At 36.5% G+C, this 14,862-nt stretch overlaps 2 protein-coding genes across 30 annotated transcripts in view; one reads left to right on the top strand and one right to left on the bottom strand.

Annotated features, from left to right (window-relative positions):
- MED12L (mediator complex subunit 12L) overlaps positions 1–14,862 on the top strand; it is a 350,990-nt gene that overhangs the window by 106,454 nt on the left and 229,674 nt on the right. For 13 of the 24 annotated variants that reach the window (XM_017005676.2, NM_001393769.1, XM_017005678.2 and 10 more), the window contains 2 exons: positions 433–537; positions 1,373–1,549. The exons of 5 other annotated variants lie outside the window; for them this stretch is intronic. In XM_017005676.2, the coding sequence (XP_016861165.1) occupies positions 433–537; positions 1,373–1,549 (282 nt within the window). The remainder of the gene's footprint in view (positions 1–432; positions 538–1,372; positions 1,550–14,862) is intronic. 6 more of the 24 variants (NM_053002.6, XM_047447409.1, XM_047447408.1 and 3 more) reach the window with 1 other exon arrangement.
- GPR171 (G protein-coupled receptor 171) lies at positions 5,637–11,099 on the bottom strand. 6 transcript variants are annotated; one of them, NM_013308.4, is made up of 3 exons: positions 10,987–11,099; positions 8,792–8,880; positions 5,715–7,322 (listed from the first exon to the last, which is right to left on the bottom strand). In NM_013308.4, the coding sequence occupies exon 3, from the start codon at positions 7,267–7,269 to the stop codon at positions 6,310–6,312; it is 960 nt and encodes a 319-aa protein (NP_037440.3). In that variant the 5' UTR covers positions 7,270–7,322; positions 8,792–8,880; positions 10,987–11,099; the 3' UTR covers positions 5,715–6,309. The 6 variants fall into 6 exon arrangements, with proteins under 6 accessions (XP_047304012.1, NP_037440.3, XP_047304010.1 ...); XM_047448054.1 differs by having other exon boundaries at positions 7,445–8,880; XM_047448056.1 differs by having other exon boundaries at positions 5,637–8,880.

The following is a 14,862-nucleotide window of genomic DNA, read 5'->3' on the forward strand; positions in this document are numbered from 1 at the left end:
GGCTAAAAACTGAAGTTCCTTTACCTGTTTACATGTTTTCTATCCTCCTGCTTTTTCTTTTCTATTCTATAGATATTAAAGTGTCTTATATTTCAGATATAGTCTTATATTTTTCTTAATAAGAAGAGTTGGTTAAAGTATGTGATGGGAAATAGCCCAAGAAAGGAAATTGTGGACACTTGTTTTAATCCGGATGTTTGTGTGCTCTTCTCTTAAAATATCATGGAAGTTAAATTTTCTCATGATGAGGGAAAAGAATGTGACTGTTCATAGCAAGGCATGCCTTAAAGCTTCCTTCAATTTGCGGGGAAGAAAACAATACGGGGAACAAAAGACAGAGATGGTTAAAAATCCCACTGTCATGTTTTAGCTTCAGTTTCTTGATGAACTCCAAAACTTACAATGTTACTTTCTTTCTCTGGCGATTATCAGGAACAGAGTATTATGGCGCATATGGGCATTGACTCAGGAACCACTAACATTTTTGATGAAGTAGACAAGAGTGACTTTAAAACTGACTTTGGTTCGGAATTTCCAGTAGGTTCAATCTTTGATTCTTATTGACAATTAAGAATTAACCCGTTCCCATCCCAGCCTGTCTCGATCCTTCTGTGTTCTCAGAATGACTTGCACATTTGTGATATGTAATCTTGCCATATTCTTCCTTTGGTACAATTATCATCTGACACAATTGGGTCATCCTCAGTTTTGGTTGCATGGCCTACTCTGTAAATTGGAACACTCCTGTCCTCCTGGTTGGCTAACTTTTTTGTTCATTTTGAGCTCATCATCATCTCATTAATGCGTGAATGTAGCTTCACGATGACAGTCCATGTTGATTTGCTATGTATATGTTCAGCTTCTATATAATAGCTTTGGTGGCTTTGGGCCTATTATGCATTCTTCTACTTTATTTCAATATAATTATAATGTGTTCTTTCTCATGAATCACAATATATAACTTTAAAAAAAAATTGTTTGGAGTACAGACCAAAACCTTTATGTCTATTATTCATTAGTCTTACTAGTTTATTATTATGTATATGTTTCTGTACGAAATGTAGCCCTACGAGGAAAACACTTACCCATAATTCTGCTTTTATCTTTAGCTTTCCAGGTAGTGTAGACACATTTCTTATGTGTGTGGTTGTCATTTTCTCATCTACAAAATGGAGGGTGATGCTCACAGATTCGTACTGATCTGAATATGAATTTTGTGGAAATTAACACAATTTCTTCATATTTTTTTGCTAAGTGGTTAAGTAGGAAAAGGTGTATAAGTGTCTTATGTGTGTGTTTTGGTATGTAGCACTGTGGTTTGGTTTTGCTGGCTTTCATTTACAATCTCCAACATTTGTTTTACATGACTTAGATTTTTTCTCCTATGCCTGGAGAATCCTGTGAGAATGCCAACACTTCGTTGGGCAGAAGAATGTCAGTTAATTGTGAGAAGTTGGTGAAGAGGGAAAAGCCAAGGGAATTAATTTTTCCATCTAATTATGACCTCCTTCGCCACTTACAGTATGCAACACATTTTCCTATACCTCTGGTAAGTCATTGCTTCAGTTAATCTATACCCTGATTATTTTATTATAAGATCAATAACTGTTGAACGTCAGATTATTCAACTGTATTCTTGACTAATAATGATAGCAGGTGAGTTTTTTGCATTTGCTCCTGCTTCTGTTCTAATTCTGATCTTAAGCTTATGTACTGAGGTTGTCCGAATTTGTAGTGATATTAGTGGCTAATTAGATTTAGAAAATGAAATTTTCTATGTTAGTATCCTTTTATTAAAGAGCATTTGAGTCACTGCAGGTGATGTCTAAATGTGTTTTTTTTCTTTTCTTTTTTTTTTTTTTTTTGAGACGGAGTTTCATTCCTGTTGCCCAGGCTGGAGTACAGTGGCACGATCTTGACTCACCACAACCTCTGCCTCCCAGGTTCAAGTGATTCTTTTGCCTCAGCCTCCCGAGTAGCTGGGATTACAGGCACCTGCCACCACGCCTGGCTAATTTTTTGTCTTTTTAGTAGAGACAGGTTTTCACCATTTTGGGCAGGCTGGTCTCGAACTCCTGACCTCAGGTGATCCGTCCGCCTAGGCCTCTCAGAGTGCTGGGATTACAGGCGTGAGCCACCGTGCCAGGCGTAAATGTGTTCTAATTTGAAAGTAAATTTGCTGAGTAGCTTTTATGTGCACTGTATTATGGTAGGTACTTCTAGTCAGTAAGAGTTTTGAGGCATAGGAAAGACGGGAGACAAATGTCAGCAAGAATTTTGAGGCATAGGAAAGACAGGAGACAAACATCTATAAATGGCAAGCCCTCAAATACATGCAATAATTGAGTAAAAACACAAATTCTTACTGGAAGGTGAGCCAGTTGACATTTCTGGGCCCCTTCCACTCTCAAAGAATGAGTATTGGAGAGAACAAGAGTATTTTAGTTGAAAAATTGGGTAAGACTTCATAGAGGCTTGTACAAGATAGGCTCAGATTTGGACTGGTTGAATTTAAGAATTGTATAGCAAATGGGAAATGCTTGGCAGGAAATTTACCATTTGACTCTTAGCAAAGTGATGTGCTTTATTCTAAAGTGTAACAAAATTGGTTTCTTAATATTAGAAATAAAAATTGGGTCAAAATTTGAAATAAAAAGTTTATTCTTGGCTTCACTAACTTTTTTTCTGGATTTTTATTTTAAGTACAATTTCAGGGAGTCATTTTTTTCATTGGGTGTTACTTTTACATATAAAAAGCATAATTGGGCCGGGCGCGGTGGCTCATGCCTGTAATCCCAGCACTTTGGGAGGCCGAGGTGGGCGGATCACGAGGTCAGGAGATCGAGACCATCCTGGCTAACATGGTGAAACCCCGTATCTACTAAAAATACAAAAAATTAGCAGGCCTGGTGGCGGGCGCCTGTAGTCGCAGCTTCTCAGGAGGCTGAGGCAGGAGAATGGCGTGAACCCCAGAGGTGGACCTTGCAGTGAGCCGAGATCACACCACTGCACTCCAGCCTGGGCGACAGAGGGAGACTCTGTCTCAAAATAGAAAAAGTAATTGTAGATGTATTACGTTACTTTCTGGGTATCTTCTAGGAGTTTTTATCAGCAAAACAAAGTATTCTGTTAAGTTATTTATTTATTTATTTATTTTGGTATTTTGGAATATCTCCTGAAATGACTTTCAAAATTACCAAACCCATTTATTTTTTTCTTATTACAGTTAAAAGTCTCTTTTTTTGTAATTTTTCTATGTCCAGGGCCATTTCAAAACTTGTCAAATTATCAAACCCATATTTTTTTCCTTATTACAATTAATCCATTTTTTGTTAATTTTTCTATGTCCAGGGATATGTCAAAACTTGCCAAAGTTTGTTCTTATCTATCACTGCCTGAATAATATCTATGCTTTTCTACTGTTACCTATAGACATTATTCATTTATAATATAATGGAATAATCTCACAGTTTATTTAGGGGAGCAGAAAGAGTAGCCTTATATTTTAGAGATGTATCCTGAAGAATTTATAGATGAGCTATCATGATGTCTGGGATTTGTTTTTAAAATATTCTGGGTAAAAAAGGGAGACAATATTAACGTCCGGAGTTTATTTAATAGTAATATACCAATGTTAACTTCTTAGTTTCACCAAATGTACTGTGGTTCTCTTAAGTCATTTACATTAGAGAAAACTGGCTGAATGGCATATGGAACTCTCTGTACTATTTTGCAACTTCTCTGTAAATCGGAAATTACTCTAATAAAAAGTTTATTTAAAAGAAAGAATTAAGGGGGGTGATAAATTAAGCAAAGATGGCAAAATGTTGAAAGTGTTTGAAACTGGTTGAATGGTTGAGGGTTATGTGTTCCTTTCTTGGGTAAACAGAGCTTTGCATGTCTCTCTCCCAGGTGTCTGGGTGTCAGAGCTGGACACTAAGCCTCAGCTTCTTTATTCTGTTGTTCCTGTGACCTTGGTTTTACAGCCTTTCCCTGCATTTAACATTCTACTTCCTTGGAAGAAAGAGCTTAAATGATTTTCAGTGACCACATGTCATAATGAATCATGAGATAATTTAACTATAACAATTCATGAAAGAACTGCTAGACAATTGATATTGTAGGATACATTTTTTAATAGCCTTCCACCACTGGTTGCCCTAAACTCCCTGTTACCATGAGTTCAATTCAGAAGAAGCCAAAGGATATGCTAATATAACACTGACTTTAGGAATGCTACTGTCTGTTTTTTTTCCCTTAATAAAAAGAGAAAATCTGACTAGCTTCTCATTGCATGTGAGGAGACTATAAAAATATGGTTAAGAAAAGTGTTTTCCATGTCCCCATCTGTCATATGGGGCCCTACTAAATGAAGACCAAAGAGAAGAGGACTAAAGGGGGCTTGACCAAAGATTCAGAAAAACAGTTTCATGATGCTATTCTGTGAATAATACTTGATCTGCCCATTAGTGAACCATGTTTCCTAGACTACCAGCAAACACAGGTTCTAGTGGATAGGCATTCTACAGCCTGCAACTGAGGTAAGTCATTTACACTGTGTCAGATGTGTGAGGCTGCTGGAGTTTCTGTCATTACCATTAGCTAGCTAGAATTGTATAGCATTATCTTGTTGTATGTTTTGTAATAGGCACTTCATGCATTTTCTCATTTATTATTCACTGCAGAGTCAGAATATTTTTATGGAATTGTAGATAGGATTTTCAAGCTTTAGAAAATAATTTGTGAAATGCAAAAATGAGTTTGGAATCAAACTTGTTTTCCTAGCTTTCAGGAACACCATTTCTTAATCATTGCAGCTAATGCAAATGGATTTACCAGCGGTTTTTATATGGGCTTATTTTACTAATGAAATAAAAAACACAAAGTCATCATGTATGCTTATCTAAATTTTTCCAATATTCTTTTTCCTAATAAGTCTTTTATTTAATGCTGTGTATTCTTTCTGCATCACCAGCAGTGGAGAGAATTTGATCAGAGTTGTGACTCTGAGAGCTGGAGTCAGCTTATACTTTATTGTTATTTATTTATTTACTTATTTATTTGAGACAGAGTCTCGCTCTTTTTGCCCAGGCCGGAGTGCAGTGGCGCAGTCTCAGCTCACTGCAACCTCTGCCTCCCAGGTTCAAATGATTCTCCTGCCTCAGCCTCCTAAGTCGCTGAGATTACAGGCGTGCACTATCACAGCAGGCTAAATTTTGTATTTTTAGTACAGAGGGGGTTTCATCATGTGGGCCAGGCTAATCTCTAACCCTTGACCTGAGATCTGCCCACCTCAGCCTCCCAAAGTGTGTGAGCCACCACGCCCGGCTGGAGTCACCTATACTTTAAACTGGGGCCCTACGTGGAGTCAGGCTCATCTTTCTGGACCTGGGTGGCACTGAGTAGCTCGGCCTGTGCTACATTCCTAACACGGCCTTGCTATGCGAAGTCAGTGTATCTGTTTTATAAAGACCATCTGACTGGTGCTGTTTTACCATTGATGTGCTATCGATGTGATTTTCTAGTTCCAAAACACTAGTTTCAGTAGTTAGTATAACTTAACAACTCCCTCTGAAATGTTACAGGGCCTCTGTGTTTCATGTTACTTCAAAATAGAAATGAGAAGTCACTAAATGTATTATTACTAACATCAGGAAGCCTTTATTATAACCTACAGGTAGAATATAATTACAAATAATACATTAAAGATTGTCTATATTTTTCAAGCCTTTTTATAAATAAAAGCTTTTGGTTATTGTGTTAGAAAAAAATTCGACATTAAAAATTGGAGGAATAATGAGTTGAAAGATTACCATCTTTTGAAGTGATAGATTAGAAATAAAATAGGCACAAGTTGTTATATGTAAGCTGCATTTTTTAAAAGTAATCTGAAAGGCTTTAAAATTATGTTGCTGGTGGGCTTTCTGGTAACTTACATGGAAATTATTTTTTATATTTTTATCAAGAAGTCAGTTCCAGGCATTTAAATGAATAACTCATGAATACCTTTGGGTCTATGTCATGGACCTCTTTTGGATTTCAAGGATATTGCAGGATTTTACATTCGTTCAATGAGACTCTTTAGTTTTTTGTACAAATATTTGGGTTAATGAGTAGCAGCAAGCCTAACAATAAAGCTTGACTTGCATTTAGAAACAGGATTTCTAAGTAAACCTGTCCATATTTGCTAGCTAACTGTATTTTTTCATACTGAGTTTTTTTTTGTTTTTTTTTTTTTTATCTTTCAAAGCTATAATTAACTTTATGGTCCAGTAAGGCCAGAATTGGTAGCACAAAAAATCCTGTCTTTTATGCATTATTTTCACATCTTAATTTTTCTTTCTGAGCCTTGGTCTCTTTAGGTGAGGCAAAAGTCTCAGTGACCTTTGAGCGGAATGCTTTTGAGAGGTGATAGTACAGGATAGGATCAAAGCACAGGTTCGACACAGCCAGGAGCAGTGTAGCCTCTTTGGCTTTGAAGAGTGAAATCCTGGTTGAGCAATCAGTTATGACTTCTGTCTGGCTGAGGGTATACGGGATTCGGACAATGTGGTAAGGAACAAAGCATATGATGTAGCCCGTGGTCACTAAAAGTATGTTGATGAGAGCCTTTTTCACATTTGGGTAATTTTCATTATCTTTGTTTCTGTAGAGCTGTCGAATTACAAGGCAATTGGATATTAAAATGATGGCTGAGAAATTTAAAAATATTGCTACACATATGAAATTTGTCAGCAAATGCCAATTTCTTCCAAATTCCTTTTTAAACTCCATACAACCCACATTTGACTTTTCCTTGATGTCTTTGATGGGAATCATCATATTTGGCACCATTATAAGAAGGACCATTAGCCACACAACGGTTGATATCATTTTGGCAAATCCGGGTTCTTGTATTCGGTAGATCTTGCAGCTGTGTGTCAGCTGAAGACAGCGGTCAATGCTGACAAATGCTAAGAAGATAATTGATAAATACATATTGATATAGATGAGGCAGGCTGTTACTTGGCAGTGGAATATCTTCAGCTTCCAAGGTGCCACACCCAAGTCAACAACAATTTTCACTGGTAATGCCAGAGTAAGCAGGAAATCGGCTGTAAGCAAATTAATTAAGTAGATGCTCACACACCTGTGATTCGTATTCTTCTGTATAAAAGCCCAGGTTGCAAAACAACTTCCAATAATTCCAACAAGGAAAACTAAATAAAAAAAATACGTGAATGGCTCCAGATCTTTATAAACTGGGCAGAAGAACGAACTGTTTGTCATCTTGAGGGAAAGTAAGGATGACTGCTTATTGAAAAGAAAAAATTTCTAAGACTCTGTAAAAGAAACAAGGAAAGGGAGGTTAGTAATTAAAATTAGCAACTATTTTCTTTAAAAGACATTGGTCTTCACAATACCGTTGTCTTTCCAGTTCTTAGAATTTTATTGGTGAACTTACCAGACCATATGGCCTGGTGAGAACATACTAGATTGTGAAGATGCCTGGGTTTTCCATTGTCTGATTTTGTGACTTTCAGGAAATCCCATGCAGGTTTGCTTTTGGTAGGGATATTTTCAACCTCAGGTTTTTCCATTCTGGTAGTTCTTGTTACCAGTTGGGTTGGAAGTTAGTTTGCAGAGGAGATAAGTGAACCGAGATTCTGAGAAGTAGAGAGAGGAAACTAGGGTTGTGGTTGAGCATGAAGAGCTTTCAATGAGGCCTTCTGGTTTTTTTCTTGTTTTAGTTTTTTGTTTTCCATAGATTCATGTGGCTCCTAAGGCTGGGAGAACCCAGGCTGACAGGGGAAGTAAGGAGTTGATGGAAAATCTCCAGCCTGGTCGCAAGAGTCTGTCTCAAAAACAAACAGAAAAAAACCAAAAAAACAAACAAAAAAACCCACAACTACCAGAACATGGATGTATGTTCATTGGTTACAAAATCCTTGGAGAAAGATTTATTTATATTAGTATCAAAACATCTGACTTCAACACTTGAGTCGCTTTTTTTTTCTTTCATTGTGGGTTTTGAAGCAGTTAAAAGCCCAGAAGCATAAGACATACCCTTAGAACTACTGTGATCACCACTGATAATGACAATGAAGTCTTGTCATGTCCCTCCCAAATCTGGAACATTGAGCGGGTTTGTAAGCTCAAGTTAAACTGATAGGGCTCCCTTTGACCTGGTCTATTCAAACTCACATGCTTAGAGCTAAGGGTACATTAGTAATCTTTCTGGTGCTGCCTGTTGGTGTGGGTCCCCCTTTTGCACATTAAACAGTGTTCTTTTGTTTTAAAGACCTGAAGATTATTTTTGTATTTTAGCAAGGAAACATTTTATATTATAATACAACCTTTTTAAAAGAAGCAAATATAAGTTATAGTGACCAACATTGAAGGCCAGATCAGCTACTCTGTAAGTGCCTTTTAATAAGAGAATAAAACTTCTGACATCTTTCTAAATTTTAATTTCCCCAATTAATTAATGATCCTTTGTGTGCATTTGTAATGAAACAATGTATGCAAACAGATGAATAAGGCAGATGTACACAAAGCTTTCTAAATTCAAGTGCTGCTTAAAGGCTACATGCCCTTTCTCTTTCCCTACCTGAGTTAGCACGTTAGAGTCCATGAATAATGTCATTCTTTACCAAACTCGATGAAAATAATTAAGCAGTTGGTTTGTATCTGGCACTATGCCAAATACTTTACATGTACTTATTTAACTTCTTATCATTTCCATAAGCTAGGTGTTGTTATTGTCCCTGCTTTACAGATGAGGAAATTGAGGCATAATGGGGTTACTTACCCAAGGTTGTGTAGCTGGTAAGATATAAAGCCAGGATTCCAGCTCAGTCAGTCTGATCTCAGAATCACATTCAAAACCACTCCAAAACACTGCCTCAGTAACAATAGTAAGATGATGATAGAAATGATAATGATTATTATTATATCTGCCAGTCTTTACTAAGGGCTTACTGTGTGGGCAGGAACTATGTTCTAAACAATTTTTATGTAATAAAGCTGAAATAAACTATTTTTAACTTTTTACCAAAATACTAAGAATATAAGTTTAGGCTTTTCGTATATTTTGCTGTTCTATGCATACAACCACGTGCACACACTCTCTCTCTCTCTCTCTCTCTCACACGCACATTTAAAAACAAAACCTAGGCCCATCCAATAAGTTTAAACCAACTTTGCTCTCAAAGCTTCCATAACCTAGTTTCTCTCTACCATCTCTACTTACATCCCAGATTAAGATTGGGATTGGTGGGGTCTCTATTATTCTGTGTACAGTTCCTTCCTGCCTTTATACTTTTGCATGTGATAGAAATTTTGGAGTCATAGGATTTTAAGGATGGATGGAAACTTTATCGATAGCCTGTAGTCTAATCCCCAAGTCAGTTGAGGAGATTGAGGGCTGGCACTGGTGTGTTCCTCAAGCTTTCACAGCATGTTCAGGCAGGACTAAGATCTGTTCTTATTGGTCATCTTCTAAGCGCTCTGCATTTATCCTTACTATTCCTGAATCCTGCTTATTCCAGAGCTTTAAGGAAGCTCCTCACATCTGAAAGCTACTCCAGGCTTTACCGATGTCCTTGGCGACCATGAATTTGGATAGTTACCATTTGTACCTTGGAATTTTGAACATACTTTTCTTCTTTATGTGAAAAACTAGTATTCGTGTGCATTGATATAGTGTCACATCTTTGCTTATTGTTACTTTCTAAGGCCCTAGGATTTTGGCTTACGCACTTCTATTTCAAATATTACATAATAATGGTAACATAATGTGTTTCTTTAAGTGCTCCATTGCTTGCACAACTATAAAATAAGTCTGTTGTATCAATGAGACGTATATGGTAAAGAGAAGAATTAGAGTAATTTATTTTGATTAATTTTCTCTGTAGCTAGAACTGACGATATATACCGTACATGAATAATTTATCTGAAATGAATAATCATTCAGTAATTCTCAAGAATCATGGAGCATCTCACATTTCTCACATTTGTGTTTGTGAACTTTTGTCTAAATTGCAGTGAGAAACAAATCTGTTTATTTAAAATTTTTGCTTATGTAAATTAGAGGTTAAAATATTGTATAATAACATCCTGTGTTCTGTGTCACAAGTTTGAGAACTAAGTGCTTAATAAATATTTTACCAGACAGTTACTTACCAGTGAAAATGTGAGATACTCAGAAGTAGTGCAGCAACAACAATACAAGATTTTAACTGTCTCTGTAGTTTGGATAGAGTGCCCATTGCTTAGAAAATAAATAAACTGGCTGGGCACAGTGGCTCACGCCTGTAATCCCAGCACTTTGGGAGGCTGAGGCGGGTGGATCACTTGAGGTCAAGAGTTCGAGACCAGCCTGGCCAACATGGTGAAATCCTGTCTCTACTAAAAATACAAAAATTAGCCAACGCGGTGGCGGGCACCTGTAATCCCAGCTACTCGGGAGGCTGAGGCAGGAGAATTGTTTGAACCCGGGATGTGGAGGTTGAAGTGAGCTGAGATCGCACCACTGCACTCCAGCCTGGGTGAAAAAGCGAGACTCCTCAAAAACAAAACAAAACAAAAACAAAATAAAAGCTTATTAGATTTTCTATGGGAATCACAGTGGAATCTTCTTGAAATCACCTATTGTAATGTTTGTAGAGGAAAGTCATCTTAAGGCCTGTTGTTCCCTGTTGTGAAGATCTACAACATGGCCTCTATCCACCCAGTTATAAGATTGAGTTACTGAATAGTTATGCTCGCTCAGGTATTCAGTCTGGTGTCAATTATCCTGTCTTTTGGAGACAGATGAATGGGTTCATCAGATATAAGAAAATTATAGTGTCATTCACAGCTAGGACCTATTTAGAGTTTAAAAATTGATGCTTTTTTTTTATACAGCTTGGCTTTTTCTACTTATAAGCCTTAAATACTGAAAAATCACAATTTTGTTTTCCACGGAAAAGCATTTGAATATATTAAGTGTTTAAAAAGACATACCTGGGGCTATCTTCTGTGAGCCTCAGCAAGCCTTGCTGCAAGTCTTCAGAGAAGCATGAGCTGTTTGGTTAGCCGCAGCAGTAGCAACCCCATTGCAGGCTGCTGGCTTTACTAAAAATTTCCTTTCCTTTTTGTGTGGTTTTAAAATGTTGCATATTGACGTAGATGAAACTGTGGTTTGCAAGTAGTTTAACTTTATGAAAGTCTCCTAAAGAAGTTTTTTTAATGTATACAATTTCATGTATGCTTTCTTAAGCAATTTATTTGTCATATTTTTTAGAGAAAAGATCTTCATTTAGTACCTAGCCTTTTTTTTTTTTTAAAGTATCCAAGGTATGTTTTGTGTCATAATGATTTCAAAGAATATCACTCTTCATGCCTTGATGGGGATTAATAATTAAAGATATAAGGTGTTTAAGCAAATATTTTTTCAGTATATATAGTAACACAGCATTTCAAAGTTAAAATTTAAAAAATAGTTGCAGTTTTTATTCCTGCTGAGACACCTATTATTAAAAAAAGAAGTAAACAAAAAGATGTGTTTTACAGAGTCAGCTAATGTATACATTTTATTTATCTTATTTTATGTTCATTATAGAAAAATCTGGAAATAGAAATAAAAAAGGAACATCATTATGCAGAGAGATAATTACTGTTAATATTTTTGGTACATAAGTTTTAAATTTTTTCTATGCTTATGTATTTCCACTTAGATGTTATTCATACTATTTTATAGTTTATAATTTTTCATTGAAGAATATATTATATATTCAATTTATGAGATTAGACTTGTAATAAGTATTTGTCTGTTTGACTCAAACAGCCTGATGAATTGGAATAGTATTTAGTAATTAATAGATTGTGTGTAAAGGAACCCTACAGTGTGTATTTAAGTTGTTTGGTTAAATGTTCATTGTGTCTGTGGCAGAACTAACTGAATGTTTGAAAGAAGCCTAGCATGCTGGGGGACCTAACAAACATATTTTCAAGAGTTCTGAATTTTCTGGTTCAAAGTTGATGTGTTAATGCAAAGCCATTGCCTGGTTATTTAGGGTCTGGTTTCTTCTAATGCTTCATTGGCTTGGTAGGTGCTTTGGTTTCTTTTAATAATACTTGGTCAGTTTTCTGGATAAGAAAAAAGAAGATACCTTTCCAGGATCTAAAATTAATCTCTTGGTATTAGTTTTTAAAAAGAAAAATGTCTCAAAAGATGAAATGAGAAGTATCTAGCTAGGGAGAATTTAGGGAAAGTCTAAGGAGACTTTTGAAAAAAATGTAAAGATGCTTATGATGATATTGGTCACGTCTCAGGTATTCTGACATTCTCCCAAATTCATATAATTATTATTTTTGCCAGTGAAGACCATAAATTATAAACTAGGAGGGAAAAAGCAAATGTTTCTCAAACATTTTATGTTAAGAACCACTGTGAACTTCATCATCATAGTGCTAGGAAAGGATCTTTCTTTTAAGATATGTATGCTTCAACATTGTACAGGACTCACTGAAGAACATACTTGTAGAAAAGATATATTTGCAGACAAGTAAGTGAGAAGTGATCAGGGTTTACATCCACTGGAGGGTAGAGGAGATGAAAGGGAGAGAATTTAGAGATGAGTGGAGTTGACTGCAAACAGTGGTGAATGATTTTACCATGGCATGGAGAAAAACTGGGATGAAAGATTTTTGACAGTTTCTGTTTTGCTTTTTTTAGTTAGGTCTCTTTATATGTTTACTTCCTCGGTTCACTTTAAGGTTGTAGACACAATTGAAAAGTACAAACAATTGTACTTAAAAATCTACCCAGACCACAGTTTCTGTGTCTGGATTGCCAAATGTGAAAGCACTGAAGTGCCCTTGTTCTCAGAGTTCTATTTAATTTTTAGAATAGTGAGAATTAATCTTTTAATAGATGAATCATATTCCTCCTTCTGAGAATGAGCTTAGGCAACCTGGCTTTGTGTGGAAGTTTATTCACAGTGGAAATACATGTAGTTTTCATTTTTTAATACTAGTTTCATTTGATTTTCTATAAGCCACTTTTTTCTATCTGTTTCACTGAGGACAAGTGTTTGTGACTGTACTTAGTGTTCCGGGAAGTTGCATGTCATCACTAATACACACCCAAGCGGGAAGAAGTGAGGTGAAGTTATTTTTCCCTTACCTTGGTCATGGCAGTACTTTTTGTTAAAGAAATAATCTATTCATTACTTATGAATATTTCATGGATATTTTGTATGTGTAAAATAAAAATTAAAGCTAAATTGTCCACCAAGTTATGAATTGAGAAAGAAAATATTTTCTGTGGTCAACTCTCCTATCCATACAAAACGTGCTTTTGATTTTATTGAACACAAATACCAAACAACGGTATTTCAGTAGAAATACTTGCTTTGAATATTTAGCGTTTTTAAAATGTGCTTTTTCGGCATAGCATGGAAGCCATTTGGAACTAATGAGGAAGGGGAAAGCAAATGTTGGGGTCGGTGGTCACTGCCACAGCCGGGCACAGGTCTGAGGACTTGTTTTTGTTAAAACAAGCCATGAGATACAGGAGATTCTGCCTCTTACAGATGGGGAAACTGTGGTGCAGAGAAATTAAGGCCCACTCAAGCCTGCACAGTTAGACCCTAGCGTCCCAGCTCTTAGTTATGCTTCTTACAATGAAATTGCTGGGGACAGTGATTACAATGGAGGCCATCAGGTCAATCCGGTCCCCCTTCCCATTTAGTATTTGTAACCATTTGAATTTGCATGCCATTGGGTGGTAGAACAGTGTACCACTGTTCTTGCCTTCCTCATGGAGTTTTCAGCCTCTGGAATGTGAATTTGGGACGCTCTTACATCAAAATAATTTACAAATGGAAGATTTTTATGATCAGTCACTTCTGCCACAGCCTGTGCAACTCCAGTTCAGCCCTCTCTCTATAGCCGTTGTGCTTCAGGGTTATGTTTTGAAAGAAAATAATTTTTTTTTTTTTTTTTTTTTGCACATAATATTCTTTCCCACCTGCGTTAGCCCAAAGATTTTTTTCTGTGCTCTGAGATTGGTAGCTTTAAATCTGAGAGTGACTGATGTGATTAAGCAGTGTAGTTTTAAAGTGAAATGTAGACGTATGGTTTCCATGTTACTGTTTCTGTATTATTTAAATTCTGCCTTGTTTTTTTTTCTTTACTGAAATGGAGAATACATGTTTGGAAATGATTTGAAGGCAAATTTGTTTTTTTCACATTCTTGGAATGTGAACTCAGTTAAAAGAATGGCTGGGTACATTACCCTGTCATTTCCCCTTGACAGTCCTTTTGGTTGTCTGCCTTTTTGTTGATGTTATTGCGTCAACATTTCATTTTACCTTTTGGTTGTGAGGTGTGACTGCTATTTGGTCCATGGTTAAAAGATAATTTATGGAGGGGAAATTTATAATAAAGAACTTTTAAAGATTATCTCGTTTCTTTTTAGTCACTGAATTTCATGCTTTTTTTCCCCCATTTGTTTGTTTATGGTCCATTTCTTATGAACTTATGACTAACACATTATCTTTTTTTTTTTTTTTTTTTTGAGACAGAGTCTTGCTCTGTCACCCAGGCTGGAGTGCAGTGGTGCAATCTCAGCTCACTGCAAGATCCGTCTCCCAGGTTCACGCCGTTCTCCTGCCTCAGCCTCCCGAGTAGCTGGGACTACAGGCACCCACCACCACGCCCAGCTAAATTTTTGTATTTTTAGTAGAGATGGGGTTTCACCGTGTTAGCCAGGATGGTTTCGATCTCCTGACCTCGTGATCCACCTGCCTCGGCCTCCCACAGTGCTGGGATTACAGATGTGAGCCACCGTGCCCGGCCATGACTAACACATTTTCAAAGCACAGAACACATTTT

The sequence above is a fragment of the Homo sapiens genome, chromosome 3 (assembly GCF_000001405.40).
Source record: "Homo sapiens chromosome 3, GRCh38.p14 Primary Assembly".
NCBI lineage: Eukaryota > Metazoa > Chordata > Mammalia > Primates > Hominidae > Homo > Homo sapiens.